At 42.5% G+C, this 19,002-nt stretch overlaps 1 protein-coding gene and 1 pseudogene across 4 annotated transcripts in view; both read left to right on the top strand.

The window, feature by feature from the left end:
• The window catches only part of ETFA (electron transfer flavoprotein subunit alpha), a 96,117-nt gene that overhangs the window by 34,775 nt on the left and 42,340 nt on the right, over nt 1-19,002 (top strand). For all 3 annotated transcript variants that reach the window (XR_007064434.1, NM_001127716.2, NM_000126.4), the window contains one exon: nt 2,201-2,283. Coding sequence is in view for 2 of the 3 variants with exons in the window: in NM_001127716.2 (NP_001121188.1) it covers nt 2,201-2,283 (83 nt within the window). In the remaining variant the exon portion in view is untranslated. The remainder of the gene's footprint in view (nt 1-2,200; nt 2,284-19,002) is intronic.
• TYRO3P (TYRO3P protein tyrosine kinase pseudogene) lies at nt 16,543-17,406 on the top strand (annotated as a pseudogene). The gene has a single exon (NR_028510.1). The product of NR_028510.1 is annotated as a TYRO3P protein tyrosine kinase pseudogene (transcript).

Genomic DNA, 19,002 nt, shown 5'->3' with positions numbered 1-19,002 from the left:
TCTCAGTAGAAACCTCCAAAACTGAAAAGCGAAGAGAAAAATAACCAGAAAAAGAAAAAAACAACAACAACAAAAAAACCTGAACTGTAATATAATATCTAAGAATTGTGGAACAGCTTCTAAGAGTATAACATGTAATGGGAATACTAGAAGGAGAAGAGAGAAAGGAACAGAAGCAATATCTGACTGAGGATTTCCCCTCATTAATGTCAGATACCAATCCACAGATCTAGGAAGCTGAGAGAACACCAAATATGAGAAATGCCAGAAGAACTTCAACTAGGCCTATCATTTGCAAACTACAGGAAATAAAAAATAACAAATACTGAAGCCAGAGGAAAAAATCCACCATACCTGTACAAGAGCAAAGATAATAATTAGATCTGATCTCTTTTCAGAAACCATGCAAGCAGAAGAGAGTGTAGTAAAATGTTTAAAGTGCTGAGAGAAAACACTCACCAATGTAGGATTTTATACCCTGTGAAATTATCCTTTAAAAATGGAAGAGAAATAAAGACTTTCTCAGACAAAAATTGGCAGAATATGTCATAGACTTACCTTGCAAGAAATGTTAAAAGTTCTTTTAGAGAGAAGGAAATGATAGAGGTCAAAAACTCTGGTGTATATAAAGCAAGTGAGAGCATTGAAGAGGGAATGAGTGAAGGTAAAATAAGTTTTATTTTTCTTAATTGATCTAATAGGTAACAGTTTAAAATAATAACATTGTATTCAATTACATATGCTCATGTATTACAATTACTTATGTGCTCATGTATAAGTGAAATGAATCACAATGTAAGAAACAGGAGATAGGAATTAGGATTATCTTGCTATTAAGTGGTACTTGCACCACCTGTGAAGTAGTAAAGTGTTATTTGAAAGTGGACTTGGATTAGCTGTAAATGAATATTGCAAACTCTAGGACCAGCACTAAAGTAAAACAAAAATACAACTAATAGCTAAGAAAAGAGACAAAATGAAATTATTTAAAATGCTCAGTTGGTGGAAGACAAAAATAGGAAAAAAGAACAAGGGCAACAAATAGAAAACCGTTACAAATATGGTAGATATTAATCCAACTGTGTCAGTTATTACTTTCAACATCAGTAGTGTAAATGCACCAATTAAAGATAAAGATTGTCATAGTGGATGAAAAAGTAAGACCCAACTATATGGTGTCTACAAGAAACCCACTTTAAATATAAAAATACATATACATATAAAGTAAATGAGTGGAGAAAGATATACCATGGTGATGCTAATTGAAAGAAAGCAGGAGTAGCTATATTAATTTCAGATGGAGCCAATTTAAAGTTAAGTTTTATTAGGTAAATAAAACCTGAGTTTTAATACACTTAAAGTTTTAAGTTCTAAAACTTACATTTTAATAAAACTTAATATAACTTAAGTTTCGCTGATATTGGGCTCCATATTCCAGAAATCACAGTGTAAGGGTTAGGAATATGGGAGATTGGTGCAGGTTAGGGAGCATGCAGAGCATTATGGGGATCAGTGTATGGGTTATGAAGGATAACCTTTGAGTTTGGGGCTTATGGGGACAGACATAATGAAGGGCAGGGTGTGATTAGTCCTGGCTGACTCAAGATAGTGGTGGTGAGGCTGTGCGTTTTTGGAGGTTGTTAGTTGTATTGTCTATGGCTCCCTCTGTCCTTTTCAGCTTGAGATGAAGAGGCCTGAGGCTCATTCTTGACTCCTGCTGGGGAAGGGGTTGTTTTACTCCAAGTATAGGGCTCATTGTTGACTCCTGTTGAATGAGAATAGAAAGTCTGTTAAATTTTATTTGTGAATTTGATAGCAAATACTGGTTAAACCTTCATCTTGTTATATGAAACTCTTTGTCCAGTATCTTCTCTTTATAGTATTACAAGAGGTAATATTGTAAAACCTTTCTTCAAAACTTGTGAAGTTATTACTTAAAGGAGCATTATATAATGACATTCTAAACATTATAGTGTAAATTTTATGACTGCCATTTTGATAAAGCATGCAGAAGAGTTAAGCCCAAATTAAAATCTGAAATACTTGGGTATAAAAAGAAGTTATTCCTTGAAGCTTTCTGTATAAAATATACTAGTACTTAGAATTCTAAATCAATGTCTTTGTTTACAGTTATCAGTGAATATCCTAACTAGCTGAATAATAGAGCTTGAAAAAAATGACAAATATTTTTTCCCCTTAGTTGGTGCTTCCCGTGCTGCTGTTGATGCTGGCTTTGTTCCCAATGACATGCAAGTTGGACAGACGGGAAAAATAGTAGCACCAGTAAGTATTGCAATAAAATATGCTGTGTAAAATGTTATGGGGATAAGTACTGTATGTATTTGTTGAACAGTGATCTCAGTGATTTACCTTACTCAGTGTTCCTGAGCAGTTAGCCAGTACCATGGTGAATATGTCATTTTCACAAGGTCTGTGTAGTTCTTGATCCTAGTAAAATGCCCAGCAGTTCTTAAATCCAGCTTATTATTCAAGTATTTTAAAGCAGTGGAACATTTTATCAAATTAAGTCATATTACATCAAATAAAACATTGATAAAAGCAGCATTTTATCAACTCAGATTTATAAGTTCACATTGATAAGATTTATTTCCATAAAGCCTTTAGAGAGTATAAAATCAATGAGAACAATGAACCTATTTTAATGAACAGAATTTTGAAATTGGGAGCTGTGAATGACAGTTTTAGTCTTATATCTTCCTGAACACCTAGTTTCTGTATTTTGTCTTATAGTATCAATTTCAGAAAATTCTGTTCTACATAGATAAGTGATACTAGAATATTCTTCAGTTAAGCCTGTCTAAAACTTGGAAGAGCAGGAAATTTTGGTCTCAAAGTTGAATCACAGTTGATAATGACTGTTTATATTTCTTAGGTGATACAGATTTTCAGTGAATAGGAGTCTCAGCCAGTTTAAACTTGTATAGTATGCAGGAAAACATGTTTTTTATATATTTCAAAACAATATGCAGTCTTGTCCATTAAAAAAAAATCTTACATCCCAGTGCTCTATTCTATGAGATATTCATTCACAGTTTTAAGATGCTGTAGTCAACATTTTCAAGGCTTATTTTTTATTTTTGAAGTTTTTTTTGTTTTGTTTTGTTTTGTTTTGTTTTGTTTGAGATGAGTCTTGCTCTGTCACCCAGGCTGGAGTACAGTGGTGTAATCTCGGCTCACTGCAACCTCCACCTCCTGGGTTCAAGCAGTTCTCTGCCTCAGCCTCCCAAGTGGCTGGGATTACAGGCGCCCACCACCATGCCTAGGTAATTTTTTTGTATTTTTAGTAGAGATGGGGTTTCATCATCTTGGCCAGGCTGGTCTTGAACTCATGACCTTGTGATCCACCTGCCTCGGCCTCCCAAAGTGCTGGAATTACAGCGTGAGCCACCGCACCCGGCCTGAAGTTTGTTTCGAAGTATTTGTTCAAGTCTTTTGCCTGTTGAAAACTTGAGTTCTTTTTCTTTTTCTTTTCTCTTTGTAGGAGTTTTTTATATAACCTACATACAAATTCTTTGTCAGATGTGTGTTGTATTTTTCCCATGCTAGGACTTCCTATTCATTTTCTTTTGATGAGTAGAGATTTCTAATTTTGATAACCTAATGCACCAGTCTTTCTTCTTATGCTTAATACGTTTTGTGTTACTCAACTTACTTGAAGTCAGAAAAGAAGTCAGAAAAGAAGATTTAAAGCTTAAAATACATATTAGAACTATTCATAAATTAAGTCACATCATCATGTGGCCTGTTTGCTTGTCATACCGAATTAGGCTGTGAGAGTGGATTTATTGAGCAGATGAGCTTGAGCCTTCCTTGACATTTAATGAGCTCTAGCACACATGCGCATATATATATATATATATGTATATATTTTAAGAGACAGGGTCTTGCTATGTTACCTGGGCTGGAGTGCAGGGGTTGGTCACAGGCATGATCATAACACACCACAGCCTCTAACTCCTAGCCTCAATTAATCCTGCCACTTCAGCCTCTTGAGTGGCTGGGACTGCAGGTATGTGCCACCATGCCTGACTGGCACACACATTATTTGTGGAAATCTTTCAATTTTACATAAGTAGACATCTGTAGGTCTGATTTCATAAAAGATCAGCAGACCCACAACCTTCTTAACCAAAAATATGTCTACAAGAAATTCAGGCTGGGCGCAGTGGCTCAAGCCTGTAATCCCAGCACTTTGGGAGGCTGAGGCAGTTGGATCACGAGGTCAGGAGATTGAGATCATCCTGGCTAATATGGTGAAACCCCGTCTCTACTAAAAATACAAAAAATTAGCTGGGTGTGGTGGCATGTGCCTGTAGTCCCAGCTACTGTGGGGGTTGAAACAGGAGAATTGTTTGAACCCAGGAGGCGGAGGTTGCAGTGAGCCGAGATTGTGCCACTGCACTCCAGCCTGGGCGACAAGAGCGAGACTGTCTCCAAAAAAAAAAAAAAAAGAAAGAAAGAAATTCAGAGATATACACTGAAGTGACAGAGACTTATTTTGACTGACAGAGAGTGCTTGTGGTTATCAAATAGAAGAGCAGAGTGGCAGGGAGTGGCTGGTGGTATCCTTTCCTATATTGAAAATAAATGGCATACCATCAGCATTATTCAATATTACTCTTATGGATATAGAACCATCGAAATTTTTTTTCATAAGGAAATATATTAAATGCTTTGAAGACTTTGACATAAACTATACAGCCTCCGAGAGAATTTTGATTCATTAACTCAGGGTGTGTGTGTGTGTGTGTGTGTGTGTATATACACACACATATACGCATATATGTGCATATACATATATACACACGTAATTTATGTATGTACATTTTGTTAAGGATCTGAAACTTTTTTTGGAAACTATATCTCAAATTTACAGAAAACTTACAAGTAGAGAACAAAAAACCTATATTTTTATGGGCCATTTGAGTAAGTTGCTGTGATCATCCCCAAATAGGTTATATAGGACATTTTCCTAATAACTACAATACAACTTTTTAAATTAGGATATTAACATTGATACATAATACCATCTAAGCATCAGACCCTGACATTCAGGTTTTGCCTGTTATTCCAAAAATGTCCTTTATAGCAAAAGGATATAGTGCAGAGTCACATATTACATTTTAACTGTCATGTGTCCTTCAATCTTAAATATTAATAGTTCCACAGTCTTACCTTCACTTCATGAGGGAATTGTGAAGATTACCAGACAGCTGTTTTATAGAATGTCCCTCAATTTGGATTTGTCTAATGTCTTCAATTTAGATTATATATCTTGAACAGGAATATCACAGAAGTGATACCTCATCCTATCAGATGGTATACAATTTCATTTGGTCTTTCATTTAATGATTTTCACTTTAATCCTTTGATTAAGGCAATATGTGCCAACTTCTCCACTGTAAAGTTACTTTTCCCATTGTAATACATATTTTATATGGAGGTACTTTGAAATGATGTAAATATCCCAGTTTTCCTCAAACTTTTTTTTTTTTTTTTTTTTTGAGACATAGTCTCGCTCTGTCGCTGAGGCTGGAGTGCAGTGGTGTGATCTCGGCTCACTGGAACTTCTGCCTTCAGGGTGCAAATGATTCTCATGTCTCAGCCTCCTGAGTAGCTTGGATTACAGGCATGCACCAACCCGCCCAACTAATTTTTGTATTTTTAGTGGAGACTGGGTTTTGCCATATTGGCTAGGCTGGTCTGGAACCCCTGGCCTCAAGTGATCCGCCCACCTTGGTCTCCCAAAGTGCTGGGATTACAAGCATGAGCCACTATGCCCGGCCAATAAACTTTTGATTTATTCATTTGTTTATATCAGTATGGACTTATGGTACCTATTTTATTCAATGGGTAAAAATCTATGGTTGTCATTATTATTGATGTACGAATTGTCCCATGTTTGGCTAGTGAGAGGCCCCTCTGTGTCTTTTTGATGTGTTCCCATCATTCTTTGAATCCTTTTTTACTTCCTGACAAGACAAGATGTTCCAGGCTCATTTTGTATTTTTCCTGTCCCATCTCTGGAACCAGTCCTTTCTCCAAGGAATCCTGGTTCCTTTTGCTGAAGAAAAGTATTTAGAAGCCAATATCTCAATGCTAGTTATGTTCATTGCTATTGAAATGTCACTGCTCCCATGACATCTCAGTGAAAAAAGCTAGAGAATGTGTGTGGGCATGTGTATGTCTAGGCAAATATATGCATATATATATTTACCTGCATATACAAACACATTTACATTTATATTTCTGTATCAGTTGTATATGTTGAAAACCATAAGTGTACACTGGTATCTCCAATTCTAGTCTCATACCACAGGGTTAATTTTGGTTTTCTCCCTTTTCCTATTTGTAATGCCTTTCTCCTATGGTGAGAAACCTAGACCCTGCCAGTACTCTACCCTGCACAGATGCCCTCCTTGCCCCACTCAAGCTCCAACACCTGGAACTGAATAGTCTTCCTGTATAGATACCCTCCCCACCCTACTTGGACTCTGGCATCTTTGTCTGGGTAGCTTTTTCCCAAGGTGGTTGCACAATTTTACACTCCTACCAACTATGTATGTGGGTTCTAGTTGCTCCTCATTTTCACCATTTGGTGTTTTAGACATTTTGGTGGATGTTACTGGTTTTAATTTGCATTTCCCTGCAATTAATCTGATGCTCATCTAATGATGATGAGCACGTTGTATTATTGGCCATTTAAACATCTTCCTTATGAAGTGCCTGTTCAAATCTTTTGCCCTTTTTTAGTTGAATTGCTTGTTTTCATTATTGAGTTGTAGACATATTTTATATATTCCTTTACAAGTTTCTTGTTAGATACGGGTTTTACAAATATTTTCTCACAGTCCATGGCTTACCTATTTATTTTCTTAATGGTATCAAATTGAGGAGGTTCCCTTCTGTTTCTGATTTGCTGAGAGTTTTAGGAATGTGTTTTGAATTTTGTCAGATGTTTTCTGCATCTGTTAAGATGATTGGATAGCTTTTTGTTGGGGTGATCAGACCCAACACCAGGCCATGGGGGCTACAAAATCCGGAGGAGTCAAAGGAATGAGAAAAGACAGGTTAAGAGAGAAAGTGGGAACAGAGGGCCAACTCTAGTATGGAGGCTGCAAAGGCCCCAAGCTCTGGGAGGCCATGCTATTTATTGATGATCAAACAAAGAAACAGGTGGTGAGGATGTGGGGGTTGAAAGGAAGCGATGTATCAAGCAAATGAGCTACAGCTGTGATGGTGTAGCATTTTCTTTGAAACGTATGGCTACTTGAGATAATGGGTGTGCTAGAAGCAAGGAGCCAGCAAGTTTAGACATGTTCCAAAGGCCACTAGGTATTTTAGACCCTGGACCCCAGACATATTCCAAAACTCTTTTATATTATGTCAGACATGCAAGCCCTGCCTCAGTTTCTCTCCCAACACTCAGCTCTTCTCCCAACATGCCCCCCTTTTCTTTTTTGTAAAACCGCCACAGCTATCATTGCTTGTTCTTGACGGCAGCTTTCTCTCCAGCGGTGGCTTCCGCATCTGCAGACTAAAAGGAGACAGCACAAGCACATAATTATTAGAACAAAATCTGCAAGTGTAGAGCTTCCAATGGCCTTAATCCACTTAAGAGGATTGAATGTAGACAACCCATCGGCTGTCTTGTTGAAAATACCAGTTGTAGGGAGCAGGTTCAAGTGAGCCTGAGAGGCTTCAAAAACCTGCTATTTTAGTTTTACAATATCAAGGGTGAGATTTTCATCTCTGCCCTCCAGATGGCATTTAAGAGTAACATAACACAACTTTGAATCCAAAAGGTCCTCTTTTTGTTTTTGAATTAATTGAGCAAGGCAATTGCAGGCTGTGCAGCTCTTAATTGCCTGTTGGTGATCCAGCTTCATTTTTCTTAGCCCTTATTCAAAATGGAGTCACTCTGGTTTGAATGCCTCTTACATATTTCCTCTTTCCCTTTTACAAGAGGACCCTTAATTCTAAGGGTTGCAGAAGGATGGAGGTCTGTCTTCTGTAACTTCTTCATGCTGAATAGGGGTGATGATATTCCTGCCTACCTGTTAGGGTCTCTTGTATTTAGGGTAGAAGGGTAGAGAGGAATTCAGTCAGAAAACATTGGTCCATTAAGCATCTGTTGTAGCTCTGAATCCCAGCAAAAGGTAAAATCCTGGCACTCCAGCAGTTTCTCAGCTTCCTGTGTGGTTTTCTTGATCTGTCCCATGTTATGGGGGTTGATGTCAGCATGACTCTGGTTGGTCCTCGTTCCGTCTTCGTATTCAGATTGACCTGGCTCATGGCTTGTACTGGGGGAACCCGGTCCATGGTTGGGATCCATGGGTCCCTCCAGTCTCCCGCTCCATGGTCATACACACCTTGAGGGCACCCACACAGTTTTTTCATCTCCTGCAAAAGTACAAACATACCCTCACCCCTACATTAGTAAATCTACTGAAACAGAAGCAAAGGCTTTTTTTTTTTTTTTTTGCTGTAGCTGGGAGGCATGCCATTGCTGAAGCATTTGTAACTCAGCTTCTGCCTCTTTGGTTAATTACTGCGGGGTAAAAGTTACCATTGGTAATGAGAAGCAGGCTTTTTCTGATTAACAGAAGGCATAGAGAAACCAAATCGAGGCTTATCCTTCTTGTGCAATAGTATTGCAAAAAAGCAATCCTTAAACCTTCAATTTGCACTGTACAGGTGGGTCCACTAGATGCTGTGGCTCATGATAGATCTTCAGATGTTTGGTGGGCACCCACACAGACACCTGGTTGTCACCTGGAGAGACACAAGCAAATCGTCTTCCCCATATAATTATCTTTCCTTTTTCCCAGCTTTTTGTATGTGCATCCCTCCATCATATATCTTGTCCAGCCTTTTTATTTTCCTTTTGTCCTGTCAGTTGTTCAGCTGCAGTCGTGGGTTGATCTTTTTATAAATTTAAAAACTTTAATGTTAATAAAGCTAAATGCAATTGCATTTGCAGTGTCTTATATTGCTGGTCCCCTCCCTTTTGTATGTGAGTTTTTAAAGTAGGATTAGCTCTTTAAGCAATGTCAGTTTGAAAAACTTGCTGTTGAGGTCCTGCAAATTAGGCTTTTCCATTAGTAGATCCATCAGTAAAAACAGTAATGGCTGCTCCAGTGGGGGCTTTTTGAGTAACAGAAGGCAGTATCTAGGATGTTAATTATAGAAATGGAAATATCTTAGATTTAGGATAATAATTATCAAGAATGCCAACAAAACCGGCCAAATTAACTTGCCATTCTTGCGAATTAATATAGGCTTGTTGAATTTGTTGTTTTGTTAATGAAACTATAATCTGATTTGGATCATATCCCATTAGCTTTGTTGTGCGCAGCCTCGCTTGTCCTACTAGCACAGCAATTTGATTTAAGTACAGAGTGAGCGTTTTGGTTGTATTGTGAGGTAGAAAAAGCCACTCAACCAGATCATCCTGTTGAACTATAAACTCCTGTAGGCAAATGCTTAGTAGGAAAAACTAAAAACTGTAATGGCTGTATCAGATTAATTCGTTCTACTTGTGCTTGCTGAATTTTTTCCTCAATTGATGGAAGTTCCTCCAATGCTTCTTTGAACAGGGAGCATTTACTGTTAAGGTTAGAATCACCTTGTAAAGTAGAAAAGAGATGAGACATAGTATAGGTAGGCATGCCTAAAGTTGGATGAATCCAATTAATGTCTCCTAATAATTTTTAGAAATCATTTAAGGTTTTTAAATTATCTCTTCAAATTTGAATTTTTTTTTTTTTTAAACGGAGTCTCGCTTTGTCGCCCAGGCTGGAGTGCAGTGGCGTGATCTCAGCTCACTGCAAGCTCCGCCTCCCAGGTTCACGCCATTCTGTTGCCTCAGCCTCCTGAGTAGCTGGGACTACAGGCGCCCGCCACCACACCCAACGAATTTTTTTGTATTTTTAGTAGAAGCGGGGTTTCACTGTGTTAGCCAGGATGGTCTCCATCTCCTGACCTCATGAGCCACCCGCCTTGGCCTCCCAAAGTGCTGGGATTACAGGCATGAGTCACCGCACCCGGCCAAATTTGAACTTTTTGAGGCTTAATAGCACTTTGTTCTAACTTCATTCCTTGATATTGAAAGGGAGTAGAAGTTTGGATTTTATCGGGGGCTATAATTAACCCTGCCGCATTTACAGCCTTTTCTGTTTGTAGCACATCAATTCTTCCCTAGTTTCAGCTGCACACAAAATATCATCCATGTAATGGATAATATAACATTTTTTTAAACTGTTCTCCAACTGGCTTAATAGCTTTCCCGACATAAGTTTGACAAATAGTCGGGCTATTTAATATGCCTTGTGGCAGTACTTTCCAATGATACCTGTGCACTGGTTTGTTATTATTTATGGCGGGAACAGTAAAAGCAAATTTTTCATAATCTTGGGCAGCTAAAGGAATGGTAAAAAAAGCAATCCTTTAGATCTATCACTATAAGAGGCTAGTATTTTGGAGTCATTGTTGGGGAGGGCAGCCCTGGTTGTAGCTTGCCCATCGGTTGAATTACAGCATTAACAGCCCTCAAATCTGTTAGCATTCTCCATTTACCCGATTTTTTCTTAATGACAAATACAGGAGAATTCCAAGGGGAGAAAGTAGGCTCTGTATGTCCCTTTTGCAATTGTTCCTGCACCAGTTATTTTAAAGCTTCCAGTTTTTCCTGTTTCAGTGGCCATTGCTCCACCCAAACTGGTTTGGCAGTTAGCCAAACAAGAGGAATGGGAGCCAGAGGCTCAACAATGGCCACTGCTAAAAATGATACTCCAATCCAGTCTGATCTGTTTGTCCTTCTGAAGGTTCTGATTGGCCATTTTTGTTTTTTCCTAGTCCTTCTCCTGAGCAATATCCCATATTTTTCATCATTTGTCCACTAATATCACTATATTGATCCATAGGAATAGATATTTCAGCACCCCATTGTTGCAATAAGTCTCTACCCCATAAATTGACAGGAATAGGTGTAATAATAGGTTGGATTGTCCCTGCCATCCCGCCCTTGACATGGTAAAATCAAGGGACTTGAAAAACTTCTGAGGCAGTCCCTACGCCAACGATACCCGTGGAAGTCTTTTGTCTGGGCAAGTGTCGAGGCCATTGATTTAAAGCAATAAATAGAGACATCAGCTCCAGTATCTACTAGTCCTTCAAAATCCTTTCTCTGAATAGTTACTATACAAATAGGTCTTTTATCAGACACTTGATTAACCCAATATAAAGCTTTTCCTGCTGGATTAGTACTACCAAAGCCTCCTGTTCTCTTCACTGTGCTGCTTCCTAGTTTTATGTAGGGTAGCAGCAACAACTGAGCAATTCATTCTCTTGGGGAGGCAGACCACGGAGTCGAGGAACTAATAACTAGTTGAATCTCTCTGGTATGATCAGAGTCAATTATTCCCATATGCACAGTGACACCTTTTAAATTTAGACTAGAACTTCCAAGTAATAGACTGACTGTTCCTGAGGGTAAGGGTCCCCTAACTCCCATGGGGACCTTCTTTGGTGGCTCCCTAGGAAGGAGACAGGAATTGTGCTGCAGAGGTCTATGGCAGCACTGTCTGCTGTGGCGGGGGACAGCTGTATGTTTGTTAAGGGCACTGGCTGTGCCGGATATGCCTCAGTTTGTTGAGGGGCCGAAGGCAGGCCCCTCTTCCTATTTCCTGAAAGAGGTTGTCCATCTTTGCTAAATTTAGAATGGCACTGATTTGCCCAGTGATTGCCTTTCTTACACCAGGGACATACACCAGGACTTTTCTGTTGATGGATGGTAGTGGTTTTTCCTTTTGATTTCCATTTCTACATTCCTTTTTTGTGTGTCCAAATTGCCCACAATTAAACCAAGAGCCTGAGAAACGGGACATATTCTTTCCTACTTTCAATCCAGCCATAGCCTTAGCTAAAAGAGTAGCCTTATGTAAGTTACCTCCAATGCCATCACAAGCCTTAATATATTCAGCTAAATGAGCCTTCCCTCTCAGGTGTCTAATAGCAGTTTGACACTCTGCATTAGCATTATCATATGCAAGAAGCTGTATTATAACATCCTGAGCTGTTTTATCAGTTATGGCTTTATATACAGCCACAGCCTCTTGGAGCCAAGCAATAAAATCAATATATGGTTCTTTAGGTCCTTGTCAGACAACTGAAAGAAGGATATTTTTCCCCCTGTAACATTTACCCTTTCCCATGCCCATAAGCACACAGAGCACAGCTGAACAATGGCAACACCCTCCATTACTTCTTGATTCTCTAATCGACCCCAATTAGGGCCAACTCCCAGTAACTGTTAAAAGGAAACAAGCACAGGTGACTGCACTTGTGTGTTTTCCCTTGCCTGAGTTTGAGCTTCCTCAGCCCACCATGTTTTAAACTGCAAGTACTGGGACGGAGTGAGAACAGATTTTGTTAAAGTATCCCAATCATATGGTATTAACCTATTATCAAGAGCCACATTTTTCAACAAAGTTTTCACAAAAGGAGAGTTCGGTTCATATTGAATAATGGCTTGCTTAAATTCCTTTAAAACTTAAAAGGAAGAGTGGCCCAATTAGCTATATTCTGTCCTTCTTGCTGGGTTTGCCATGCTTCAAGGTCTCCCTCAGCTCTAGCTTTTTGAATAGAATTTTGTATAGCACCACCAATTGCTCCAGGTTTTAATGTTGCAACTACAGGAGGAGTAAGTTTTTCAGCTGATTCATTTTCTCACCCAGTAAGGGGGAGAGAGGAGGTGGCCATTCACTTAATTCAGCAGGTGGAGCTGATGGGCTAGTAAAACATACTTTTTTTAGTTTTCCTTTCTTTTCTTTAATCTCCTCCGGTAGCTGTTTCTCACACTCAGAATCTGAAGTTAGTTTTTTACACTCGTCCTCCTCTTCCTCATCTGAATCTGCCTCATCATCGTTTGAAATGGCTCAGGAGCTACCTTTATTAGTGCCCACACTGACCAAATGGAAACTGGAATTTTTGCTCTGTCTTTATACACCTTTTTAAAATCTCTTCCCGTTGTCTCCCATTCATCCAACTCCATAGTCCCTTGTTCCGGAAACCATGGGCAAAACTGCTTTACTGTACTAAAGAGTGATAACAAATTCTGAGTACTAACTTTCACTCCCCTTTGTAATAAATGCCTTAAGAAATTCAAATAAGCAAAATGTTTGCTTTAACTTCATCCCATTGTTACCCTGGTTCTTCCAAGCGCTCAGCTTCCTCACCGAGCTTCTTTCAGTCGTCCCTGGGTGTCCTCTGACGATGCATCCTCCGCTTTCACATGCTCTAGCGTTCCTTCACTGTGGTCTTTGTCGCCCCATGTTGGGTGCCATGAATATTGGGGTGATCAGACCCAACACCAGGCCATGGGGGCTACAAAGTCCGGCGGAGTCAAAGGAATGAGAAAAGATGAAAGAAAGTGGGACCAGGGGGCCAACGCTAGTATGGAGGTTGCAAAGGCCCCAAGCTCTGGAAGCCCACACTATTTATTGGTGATCAAACAAAGAAACAGGTGGTGAGGATGTGGGGGTTGAAAGGAAGTGGTATATCAAGCAAATGAGCTACAGCTATGATGGTGTAGCATTTTCTTTGAAACATATGGCTACTTGAGATAAGGGGAGTGCTAGAAGCAAGGAGCCAGCAAGTTTAGACATGTTCCAAAGGCCACTGGTGCCTACCGGGGCCGTCCTGACACATCTATTCTTAGGTATAGAATTTCAGGTATAGTTCCCCCCAGCACTTTTAAGTTCCATTGTCTTCTGGTCTTCATTGTTTCTAATGAGAGCTCAGCCATTATTTGTATTGTTCCTTTGTATGTTTTTTGTTGTTGCTTTCAAGATTTTATCTTTATCGTAGATCTTTAGAAGTTTGATTATGATAGGCCGGGTGTGGTGCCTCATGCCTGTAACCCAGCACTTTGGGAGGCCGAGGTGGGCAGATCACCAGGTCAGGAGATCGAGACCATCCTGGATTACACGGTGAAACCCCGTCTCTACTGAAAATACAAAAAATTAGCCGGGCATGGTGGCAGGCGCCTGTAGTCCCAGCTACTCAGGAGGCTGAGGCAGGAGAATGGCATGAACCCAGGAGGTGGAGCTTGCAGTGAGCCGAGATTGCACCACTGCATTCCAGCCTGGGTGACAGAGCGAGACACCTTCTCAAAAAAAAAAAAAAAAAAAAAAAAAAGGGGGTTTGATTATGGTATACCTAGGGGTGTGTCTTTTTGTATTTAACCTGCTTCAGATAGCAAGCTTCTTAAATCTATAAATGTATGCCTTTTACCACATTTGGGACGTTTTATGTTACTATTTTTTCTGCTTCATTTTTTTTTCCTCACTTTTGTTCTGGGACTCTAGTTACACATGTTTTAGATATCTTGATGTTCTTTCCCAGATTGCTGGAGTTCTGTTGATTCTTTTTCCTCTTTTTTTTCCCTACTCTATAGCTTGGATCATTTCTTTTGGTCCATTTTCAGGGTCACTGACTCTTGTATAATTTTAATATGCTTTTAAACCTATCCAGGGACTTTCTTATTCTAGGCTTTATATTTTTTAGTTTGAGATTTGCATTTAGTTGTTTTTAAAATTTTTATTTCTCTAATTTCTTATCTGTTTGACCATTACAGATATTTTACTTTACATCCTTGCGCATAGGTATAGTACCTACTTTAAAATCCTTGTGTGCTAATTCCAAAATCTGGATCATTTCAGGACTGGTCTCCTAGGCTCAAGCGATCCACCTATCTTGGCCTCTCAAAGTGCTGGGGTTACAGGTGTGAACCACTGCACCTGGCCTGAGTGAATATTTTACCACTTTATAATATTATGCATTGTTCATTTAGAAAATAATGGTTTACTGAGTTATGAAGATCTTCCAAATGTTGACACATTTGTCGATATAAAAAGTCACATTCAGCCCTCCTCCCTCCTCACTCGTGGGCCGGGCCTGGCATGGTATGGCATCACCACAGATGGTGCTGAGGCACAGCATGGGGCGGCTGGGGCTCCTGCTGCTGCCGCCACAGCAGCTGGGGCTGCTGCTGGCGGCTCTGACTTCTCTGCTGCTCCCAGAGTCCGCAGCTGCAGGCAGGTCTGAAGCTCGTGGGAGTCCCGGCAAAGCTGACAGTGTCCCAGGGGCAGCTGGTAAAGCTCAGCTGCAGCATGGAGGGGATGGAGGAGCCTGACATCCAGTGGGTGAAGGATGGGTCTGTGGTCCAGAACTGGTTCATCCCAGTCAGCGAGCAGCACTGGATCGGCTTCCTCAGCCTGAAGTCAGTGGAGCGCTCTGACACGGGCCAGTACTGGTGCAAGGTGGATGGGGGCGAAACCCAGATCTCCCAGCCAGTGTGGCTCACGGTAGTAGGTGTGCCACTTTTCACAGTGGAGCCAAAAGATCTGGCAGTGCCACCCAATGCCCCTTTCCAACTGTCTTGCAAGGCTGTGGGTCCCCCTGAACCTGTTACCATTGTCTGGTGGAGAGGAACTACGAAGATCGGGGGACCTGCTCCCTCTCCATTTGTTTTAAATGTAACAGGGGTGACCCAGAGCACCCATGTTTTCCTGTGAAGTTCACAGCCTAAAATGCCTGGCCTCTTCTCGCATAGCCACTGTTCTCCTTCAAGCACTGCCTGCAGTCCCCTTCAACATCACCGTGACAAAGCTTTCCAGCGGCAACACTAGTGTGGCCTGGATGCCAGGTGCTGATGGCCGAGCCCTGCTGCAGTCCTGTACAGTTCAGGTGACACAGGCCCCAGGAGGCTGGGAAGTCCTGGCTGTTGTGGTCCTTGTGCCCCCCTTTACCTGCCTGCTCCGGGACCTGGTGCCTGCCACCAGCTACAGCCTCAGGGTGTGCTGTGCCAATGCTTTGGGGCCCTCTCCTTATGCTGACTGGGTGCCCTTTCAGACCAAGGGTCTAGCCCCAGCCAGCGCTCCCCAAAACCTCCATGCCATCCACACAGATTCAGGCCTCATCTTGGAGTGGGAAGAAGTGATCCCCGAGGGCCCTTTGGAAGGCCCCCTGGGACCCTATAAACTGTCCTGGGTTTAAGACAATGGAACCCAGGATGAGCTGACAATGGAGGGGACCAGGGCCAATTTGACAGGCTGGGATCCCCAAAAGGGCCTGATCGTACGTGTGTGTGTCTCCAGTGCAGTTGGCTGTGGACCCTGGAGTCAGCCACTGGTGGTCTCTTCTCATGACCATGCAGGCCAGAAGGGCCCTCCTCACAGCCGCACATCCTGGGTACCTGTGGTCCTTGGTGTGCTAACGGCCCTGGTGACGGCTGCTGCCCTGGCCCTCATCTTGCTTCAAAAGAGACCGAAAGAGACGTGGTTTGGGCAAGGCTTTGACAGTGTCATTTCCCGGGGAGAGCCAGCCATTCACTTCTGGGCAGCCCGGTCCTTCAATCAAGAAAGGCCCAAGTGCATCGAGGCCACATTGGAAAGCTTGGGCATCAACAGCGAACTAAAGGAAAAACTGGAGGATGTGCTCATCCCAGAGCAGCAGTTCACCCTGGCTGGATATAGGGCAAAGGAGAGTTTGGTTCAGTGCGGTAGGCCCAGCTGAAGCAGGAGGATGGCTCCTTTGTGAAAGTGGCTATGAAGATGCTGAAAGCTGATCTCATTGCCTCAAGTGACATTGAAGAGTTCCTCAGGAAAGCAGCTTGCATGAAGGAGTTTGACCATCCACATGTGGCCAAACTTGTTGGGGTAAGCCTCTGAGCCTCTGGAGCAGGGCTAAAGGCTGTCACCCCATCCCCGTGGTCATCTTGCCCTTCATGAAGCATGGGGACCTGCACGCCTTCCTGCTCACCTCCTGGCTTGGGGAGAACCCCTTTACCCTGATCCGGTTCATGGTGGACATTGCCTGCAGCATGGAGTACCTGAGCTCTCGGAACTTCATCCACCGAGACCTGGCCGCTCGGAACTGCATGCTGGCAGGGGACATGACCGTGTGTGTGGCTGACTTTGGACTCTCCTGGAAGATCTACAGCGGGGCTACTATTGTTAGGGCTGTGCCTCCAAATTGCCCGTCAAGTGGCTGGCCCTGGAGAGCCTGGCTGACAACCTGTATACTGTGCACAGTGATGTGTGGGCCTTCGGGGTGACCATGTGGGAGATCATGACACGTGGGCAGACACCATACGCTGGCATCGAAAACACTGAGATTTACAACTACCTCATTGGCGGGAATCACCTGAAACAGCTTCCAGAGTGTATGGAGGACGTTCTTACACTCCCACTCCATCCAAGCCAAGGTCTCCTTAGGCCTTCAGACGACCTTTTGTATGATCTCATGTACCAGTGCTGGAGTGCTGACCCCAAGCAGCGCCCAAGCTTTACTTGTCTGCGAATGGAACTGGAGAACATTCTGGGCCAGCTGTCTGTGCTATCCGCCAGCCAGGACCCCTTATACATCAACATCGAGAGAGCCAAGGAGCCCACTGTGGGAGGCAGCCTGGAGCTGCCTAGCGGGGATCAGCCCTACAGTGGATCTGGGGATGGCAGTGGCATGGGGACAGTGGGTGGCACTCCCAGTGAATGTTGATACATCCTCACCCCTGGAGGGCTGGCTGAGCAGCCAGGGCAGGCAGAGCACCAGCCAGAGAGTCCCCTCAATGAGACACAGAGGCTTTTGCTGCTGCAGCAAGGGCTACTGCCACACAATAGCTGTTAGCTCACAGGCAGAGGGCATCAGGGCAATTTGGCTGGCTCTGATGGCCACTGTGCTGGCTGACAAAGCCCTGTCTGACCTCAGCCCAGACAGCAAGGTGTGGAGGCTCCTGTGGTAGTCCTCCCAAGCTGTGCTGGGAAGCCTGGACTGACCAAATCACCCAATCCCAGTTCCTCCTGCAACCACTCTGTGGCCAGCCTGGCATCAGTTTAGGCCTTGGCTTAATGGAAGTGGGCCAGTCCTGGTTGTCTGAACCCAGACAGCTGGCAGGAGCAGAGTGATTATGTTTCCATGGTTACCATGGGTGTGGATGGCAGTGGGGGGTCCAGGTCCAGCCCTGTAGGCTCTACCGTCCCGCTGAGCTGCTCCTGCTGCTTAAGTGCATGCATTGGGCTGCCTCCAGCCTGAGGGCCCAGCTGTTACCACCCTCGGGGTTTAAATATCCAGGTTTGCCCCTCCAAGTCACAAAGAGATGTTCTTGTAATATTCCCTTTTAGGTAAGGGTTGGTAAGGGGTGGGTATCTCAGGTCTGAATCTTCATCACTTTTCTGATTCCGTACCCTGTCTAGGCCAGGAGAAGTTGAGGGGAGGATGCTTCCCTGCAGCTGACCGGGTCACACAAAGGAATGCTGGAGCACCCAGGCTATAAGGTGTCCCTCTTCCAAAGGCAGCGTGCTGAGCCAGCAAGAGGAAGGGGTGCTATGAGGCTTGCCCAAGAGCGAGTGAGGCTGGAGAGGAGTTCAGGAGCCCCTCTCCATGCCCACAATCTGAGCATGCTACCAAATTTCAAAATATCTTTATTTATTTATTTATTTATTATTATACTTTAAGTTTTAGGGTACATGTGCACAATGTGCAATTTAGTTACATATGTATACATGTGCCATGCTGGTGTGCTGCACCCGTTAACTCGTCATTTAGCATTAGGTATATCTCCTAATGCTAACCCTCCCCCCCTCCCCCCACCCCACAACGGTCCCCACAGTGTGATGTTCCCCTTCCTGTGTCCATGTGTTCTCATTGTTTGATTCCCACCTATGAGTGAGAACATGCGTTGTTTGGTTTTTTTGTCCTTGCGATAATTTACTGAGAATGATGATTTCCAATTTCATCCATGTCCCTACAAAGGACATGAACTCATCATTTTTTATGGCTGCATAGTATTCCATGGTGTATATGTGCCACATTTTCTTAATCCAGTCTATCATTGTTGGACATTTGGGTTGGTTCCAAGTCTTTTCTATTGTGAATAGTGCTGCAATAAACATACGTGTGCATGTGTCTTTATAGCAGCAT

Source organism: Homo sapiens, chromosome 15, assembly GCF_000001405.40.
Source record: "Homo sapiens chromosome 15, GRCh38.p14 Primary Assembly".
NCBI lineage: Eukaryota > Metazoa > Chordata > Mammalia > Primates > Hominidae > Homo > Homo sapiens.
This window is presented reverse-complemented; position numbering and strand designations above follow the sequence as displayed.